At 38.3% G+C, this 7,744-nt stretch overlaps 1 annotated feature.

Annotated features, from left to right (window-relative positions):
- Window positions 765–1,964: an enhancer, noted in NCBI's record as "P300/CBP strongly-dependent group 1 enhancer chr12:14138289-14139488 (GRCh37/hg19 assembly coordinates)". NCBI's record gives its function as "activates an origin of replication core promoter dependent on BRD2, BRD4, P300/CBP, MED14 and CDK7 cofactors, with strong dependence on P300/CBP, by STARR-seq in HCT116 cells {active_cell/tissue: HCT116}" and the evidence as "EXISTENCE:reporter gene assay evidence [ECO:0000049][PMID:35650434]".

Here is a 7,744-nt window from a genome sequence, read left to right on the forward strand (position 1 = left end):
TCTCTATTAAAAATACAAAATTAGCCAGGTGTGGTGGCACATGCCTGTAATCCCAGCTACTTGGGAGGCTGAGGCAAGAGAATCGCTTTAACCCAGGAGGCAGAGGCTGCGGTGAGCTGAGATCATGCCATTGCACTCCAGCACTCCAACAAAAGCAAAACTCCGTCTCAAAAATAAATAAATAAAATAAAACTATTTCAAGGATCGCCCAGATTCATGAAATTCGAAACACCATTTCTTAGTGTCATAAATATATATTTCCTAACTCCTAGTCCAGCAACACAGAAAACAATATTCTAATGAGACAAAATGTTGCATCATATTTCACAGCATTGCTTATTGAGGAGAAGCTCTTGCTTGAGGCTGCTAATGACACTTTTGGAGGTATTCTGCCAACTCAACCCAAAGAGAGGTTCCCAGAAGATGCAAACACTCTTTTTCATGGCCCAATCAGCAAACGCAAAGCCTATGCCTTGCCTGGCCAACAACAACAAAAAAAGTATGTTTATCTGGCAACATCTTTCAGATCAAACACGGTACCAAAGGCTGGAGCCTGAAGTTTATACAATTTGGAGTCCCTCTTTAAGAGAAAGAATAAAAAATTAATTGCAAAAGTGAATATCCACTTAGAAAATAAATCACAACAATTTAAAAATTCTTTAGTAGTTATAAACACCACAAAAATTAAAAATTTAAATAATAATCTCTAGTTAACTGCATATTTCTGTAATATTTGTTTTTGTATTTTTTTTACCACATTCTCTTTGAGTACCTCTTCACATTGTGGTTTAAACTATAATTTTCTATGAAGATACTAGAATCAAAAAAAATAATCTGGGATCCAGTTTATTCTTCAAAATAACTGAAAATTGTTTTTCATTATAGATAATTTAGAAAATTTTCCTATTTATTGGTATTAGTACAGTTTACACTTTTAAGGGTTGTTGTCAAATTTAGAAAGACATTTATCAAATTTCTTTGATATATAAGCTCTCAGGTTACAAGGATTTCAAGTTTTCTTGTTCAGTGACTAATCTTAAATATCTCTTGAATTGATAAAATTCATTAACTAGTTTGTAATTTATTATAAGTTTTATACTGTCTTCATCAATGACAGCATTTTGTCTCAAATGAGCCAAAAATATAAATATTTCCCCAATATGTTCATATGATTCACTTCTCTTCATTAATTTGATTGTCAAACATTCCCAGGGGTCTATTCATTACCGCTATTTAGAATTTCTGTTTTCATCTTAAATAATTAGTTTAGGTATGACTTGGGAAATGCAACATTATGTGGTCTTGGGAAATGCAACATTTGGGCAGGAAAACAAAAATGCCTGTCCTCACCTAGGTCCCTGGGCACAGGCATGGGGTTGGAACCCTCGCCAGGGACCACACCCTTCCCTTCCCAGCACTTCCCTGCCCCGCTTTGGAGGCTTGAGCAGCTTCCAAAGGGTAAACATTACACTTAGATTCTTTAAAGAAAATTCTTACTTGTCATATATGTTTAAAACACTCCATTTGAGAGACAAATCTGAAGGAGAAAAAAAATGTTACAAAATACCAAAGTGGTCAGAAACTTTGAGGTAAGGGAGAGGCAGCTTTTTCTTGAACTAGAATACCGGGACGACACATATCCTGTGATGACACATATCCTGTGACACCTTTGTGTCACACCTGGAAACCTTTTCTTCATTTGGAACAGTGAGCAATAACTTAACTCTATGGAGAACTGATTGCAAGGTGTAGAGATATATCTCACTAAGCCTAAATGAACGTGTTTCCAATTCAGCATTCCCTTAGCTTCATCCCAAAAATGGTCACCACCACTCCAATGACACCCAGTGTGAGGGGAAATCTGACAGGGAAAGTTGGAATGGAAAGAGCAATTTTAAATGATTGCAATTAAGGCCTGGCACGGGTGGATCACTTGAGGTCAGGAGTTTGAGACCAGCCTGGCCAACAGGGCAAAATATCATCTCTACTAAAAATACAAAAACTAGCCAAGCATGGTGGAGCACACCTGTAATTACAGCTAGTCGGGAGACTGAAGTAGCAGAATCGCTTGAACCCGACAGGCGGAGGTTGCAGTGAGCTGACATCCTGCCACTGCACTTCAGCCTGGGTGACAAAGAAGCAATTATAAAATAATAATAATAATAATAGATTACAATTAAAATATGCTACTTTTGCAAATTTCACCAAAACATTTGGGCACATTTTAGGACTTCTCCCAACACCTTAGAAAGGGCCCAAGTGAGAGTCTATGAATTCGAAGCTGTATTAGTTTCAAAGTCAGTCTGCCTCTCAGTTCATTACCTAATGTAAAACAGGCTTGCTGGTTTCTAGATAAAATATTTGAATGATTTTTATCTTTGAAAAGGTAATCATTAAAGGCTCAGTTGACAACACGCATATTAATGTTTTCTGCTTAATCCAATCCATCTTCTTTTGCTTGCAATTCCTGGAGTGTACAGGAAACACAGGCAGAGCATTCAATTTTAATAATTTGCACAAGCATACTAAGATCCTGCCTCTACCATCATTACTCTTTTAAAAGAATCTCTATTTTGTTCTTATCATAATAATATTAATTATTCAACTCAGACAGTCTTTTTCAAAGGAAGAGTTAAACAACCCTCATCCCCTTGTCTGAAGACCTGCTTATCCTCCAACAATGAAAAAATTATTCATTATGCAGGGCATTTTATTGAGCCTGTTGTATACACTGTAACAATACACTTTTAGACATTTACATTGTGTTCTCATGGAAACATTTCTTCAATACTCATCTAAATCTGCCTTTTTTTTTTTTTTTTTTTTTTTTTGAGACAGTGTCTCGCTCTGTTGCCAGGCTGGAGTGCAGTGGCATGATCTCAGCTCACTGCAACCCCACCTCCTGGGTTCAAGTGATTCTCTTGCCTCAGCCTCCCAAGTAGCTGAGACTACAGGCACGCGCCACCACCCCTGGCTAATTTTTGTATTTTTAGTAGAGACAGGATTTCACCATATTGGCCAGGCTGGTCTCGAACTCCTGACCTCGTGATCCACCTGCCTCAGCCTCCCAAAGTGCTGGGATCACAGGCATGAGCCACCGCACCTGACCCTTAAATCTGCCCTTTTCTTTTGGAAATTAATCAAAGGGGCAGGATGGGAGGAGAGAGAGAAAGGAGGAATGAATAAGACTTTCAGAGAGAAGAATGATTGAACCTAGAAAGGTGGAAATATAGGATGCAATGTGATAGTAAGCTTTCTCTGTACTAAAGAAAAGGGATAATTTACTTGTTATTTCTAGCATCACTCATACCCTGAATGGAAATAACCCCCTATTAAGCACAGTTACAGTTGGCACTGTCTTATTAATTGTATTTTTCCCTTTCAACATAGCAAAGATACAACAACACCAGATCTGACCCAGCTGTTTTTCAAAAAGAATTCTTTAGAATCTTAATTTTTCTATCCGAATAGGTCTTCTCCCCCCTTTCTTTTTCTCATGGAAACACCTTGGAAAAAAGACTGTCTCTAGCCTCACCATTATTATATACAGAAGACATATATTCTTCTTTTGTTTTGCTTTCATTATTTGAGTTTCTCAAAAAATGTACCCTAATTTCTTTTACTATGGACAATATGAATGAGAGACCCAATCTCTATCTCAAGGCATTTTGGAACATCTTCTTGCCAGAGGCAGTTGGATAGTGAGGTAAACGAGGAAACAAAATGGAAATAAATTTTATAGCTCTCCTTTCACTAGTTCCCTTTTCCCTTGTCACTTCATCCTTTCTCTGATTTTTTAAAGGCTTTTTTGTGAGCCATGTATCCAGCGCTCCAATATTCTTTTTCCATGTAATATCTGTCTCCTTTCCTGTGGGCCTTTCCTCCTGGAACAGTTCCTGTTATCATCCCCAGGGAAATATCACTTCTTTTTCCTACTCCCCTTCAGAGGGTCCTTTTATCTTCTAGAGTAGCATTTATTGATAATGACTTCTGCCCCCTTCTAGAAAAGACATATACCCCTCCCTCACTCCTGGCACCCTGCACCCTTCCCCACTGACAGCCAAGAGAACTTCTGTGGAGCCCAAGTAAAGGAAATGAGAACAAAACGGCTTAAAAATCTGCCCAAGTTGAGGGAAAAGAGGAGGCCACTGGGAGACCTTGACAATCTGTTGAGAGAACATGGAGTAACATGGGTGTGCGACATTCACATCTAGAGGCAGGAGTCTCACAAAATAAATGTGAAATGAAATTAATATGAAATTGTGTGAATTAGGGTGGATTTCATTAGGGCACACACACATACACGTGTGCACACACACACACATACACACACACCTCTAGTGCCTTTGGAGAATTCTGAGGTCCCCACCTGAGGTGGTGGGGGGTTATTCCTCCCATGTTCCAAATTCACACAATCAATCCCCTGGCCACGTACCCTGGGAGGTGTGTACTGTAAGCGCCACAGGGGCAGGGGCCTGGCCTATTTTGTTCACCGCTACATTCCCAACACCTAGAGCAGTGTCTCAATGAATCAATGAATGAATGACTTGTAAGGGGATCTGAAGAATGAGGTCAGTAAGTATTTCTAGAAGGATTTTCTATGCCTCTACAATAGCTGCATTATGATGACCCTACTTGAACTTCTCAACAGGCTCCGCAGTAACAGATTTAGTTCAAATTCTCCCTTGACACACTGGTTCCTTCACTGTCTGGTCCCAGCTTACCTCTCCTCTGTAGCTCTTTATAAAATACATTCATTTATAATTTTGTTTTCAAATTGATATTTATTTTATTTTTAATTTATATTTTAGTTTTATCAAAACTATGTAAGTAAAGAGTTTAAAATAATTGAATAGTTTGGCAGCAGTCCTCTTATCCCCTCAGCACCACAATTTTTCACTCCCTAAAGGCCCCTTTCAGCCTTTTTAATTGAAATTTTTGGCATTTACTCTCACAACTCAAAATGGTACACTTACATTGCTACTTCTTATTTTTTTGGTCCATTCATTATGAATTGATACAACACTGTGGAAAATAAGGGTTTGCCTCCCTTTCCCCAAAAACAAAAACAAAAAATCTCTAATGAGCCACACACATGCACTCTTCCTAGTCCTATCCCCATATCTTTCAATATGCATATATCATAATTTTATTTAAGTCAATATTCATAGTTTACAGTTGTTCCATAAATGTCCTTTATCACATATTAGATTTGGTTATTTGTCTCTTTAGTCTCCTTTAATCTAGAATAGTTCCTTCACCTTATTTTGTCTTCCATGACATTGACATTTTTGGATAGTCAGGGCCAGTAATCTTACAGAATATTCATATTCTAAATGTGTCTGTGTGTTTTTCCTCATAAACAGATGAAGGATGAGCATTTTTTGGCACGGTGTTATTGCACACTTCTCCGGCACGTCATACCAGAAGGCCTGGAATGCCAGTTTGTCCCATTACTGATGATTCCAAATTTGATCACAGATTTGGGAGTGTCCAAGGGATCTCTCAATATGAAAGTACATTTCCCTTTTTGTACATAATAGGTAATCTGTTGGATGATAATTTGAGACCACACTCCCATGTCCCTGTTTCCTAATAACTTAAGGACAAAGAGAATTGAAATAAAATATTAAGTAACAGTATGTCTGTTGTTGATAGTGATATTAGTGCAGTAATTATTAGCAGAGCTAGAAAATTATATATATATGTAGTCTAAAGAAAAGAAGTCAGTATGTAAAAAGAAATGCAGGTAATAAAATACAGAGCTATGTAACACTTATAATAAAGATAGAAGTAGAATTCTAATACCTCTAAACATTCATTCCAACAAAAGTGTGGAAACTGCTTTATTGCCCTCAATTCTTCATTTCTTCATATAACCACAGCCTTTGCCATGCAACACTGCAGTGGCCCCCGGATAATGCAAGGGGCATACCTCCCTACACTTTGAGTTTAGATTGGGCAGTATGACTTGATTTAACCAATCAAATGAAGTAGAATTGGTGGAGTGCCAGTTCCACATCCAGGTCTCAAAATGCCTGCATTTTTCTGCTTCAGCACTCACACCTCTGCCACTGCCATGAAAAGAGCATGTCCAGGGCAGCCTGTTTGTCCTAGGAGGAAAAGGGGCCACGCAGCGCAAAGCTGAGTCACCCTAGCTGAGCCCAGACCACTTTCAGCCAACCTATCGATATGCAAGAATAAATACTTGGTGTTATAAGCCATTGAGTTTCAGGGTCATTTGTTGTGCAGCAATTTTATCACACTACCTAACAGATACACAGAAGGATGAGGGAAATCTTGCATCTCAAAGGATGTGGTACCAGTTCTGGACTTAGAAGTAGACTTTTGACAGGGAGAGAAGGAGTTAGACCATTTCAAGCTGAAGGAGGGGCATGAACAGAAGTTCAGAGGGACTTTCAAGTAGTAGTAAGAGATAGCACAAATGTGGAAGAGTATTGGAACACATTCTAGAGGCTATGGAATTTTATACTAAGTAATCTATGTTTATTTTATACCATAGGGTTCTGGAGGAAGAAAGGAATTTGATCTGGCCTAAGCCTTTGGAAAATAATATTGGCAATAGTTTGAGCCAAATTTAATGGAGGAAAAAGGAACAAAATTTAGAATGGTTGATTCTGTATGCTGAGTGCTTTACCTTGATTATCTCATATAGTTTCTCAACAATCCTATAAAGTGAATATTGGCATCCCCTTGTACCGATGAAGAAAAACAGCACTGAGAGATTAAGTAACTTTCCCAGAATCTTATAGCTGGCAAGACATACAGCCAGAGTTCAAGGTCAGTATGCATGGCAAAATATGTGCTGTTTCTGCTATCATCATTCTGTCTCCCAAATATTGTACGCAGGCAGGCAAATTAGGAGGTTATTGCTCTACGAAAGTGGTAATGAATTACAGTAGTAACAATAAGAAAAGATAAGAGGGAATGTATTTTGGAGAGATTATAAAAGTTTTATTTATTTATTTGTATAGTCAAAGTAAAATCGCCAGGATACAGCAACTGGCTGAATATGTGTGGTGATGGGGTGTGATAAGAAGATTCCACATCTTTTATTTTAACCAAAGAGTCTGTGTCAATGCCACTAAGATAGAGAACACAGGACAGGAAGAGCAGGTTTGGTGGTAAGAAACCTAATACGCTAAGTTTATTTATCATCTCGGGATGCTTTCTGACTAGTAATGATAACATTAATAATAGCTATCTCTCACTGAGCACTGTTCTAAAGCACTGTTGTTAGTGTTCTGCATGAATTAATTCATCCATTCACACATCAACACCATAAGGTAGGTGCCATTATTATCCCATTTTACTGATAAGGACACTGAAGAACAAAGAAGTTAAGGAACTTGGACAAGTAGCTATGGCATTTGGATATGAACTCAGGCAATCTGGCTGTAGGATCACACTCTTTACAGATGCACTGTTGAATCAATCCATATGAGTTCTTCCAACATGGTAGGCCCTGGTCCCAATAGCTGTGTTAGTAGGGAAAATCAAGTTTCCACTGCAGTAAAGAGCCTCCTAACAACAGTGGCTTAACAAAAGATTACTTCTTGCTCTCTCAAAAGCTACTATAGATTCAGGCAACCCTTCAAGACATAGTTATCCATGTGTTGACAAAACATTCTCTGTTATATCTTATGTCACTTTCACAGCAACATGTGCTACCAAGACAGCAGCTGTAAGCAAGGAGAGGGATGACATGTCTTGAACTGGCAAT

The sequence above is a fragment of the Homo sapiens genome, chromosome 12, assembly GCF_000001405.40.
Source record: "Homo sapiens chromosome 12, GRCh38.p14 Primary Assembly".
Taxonomy (NCBI): Eukaryota; Metazoa; Chordata; class Mammalia; order Primates; family Hominidae; genus Homo; species Homo sapiens.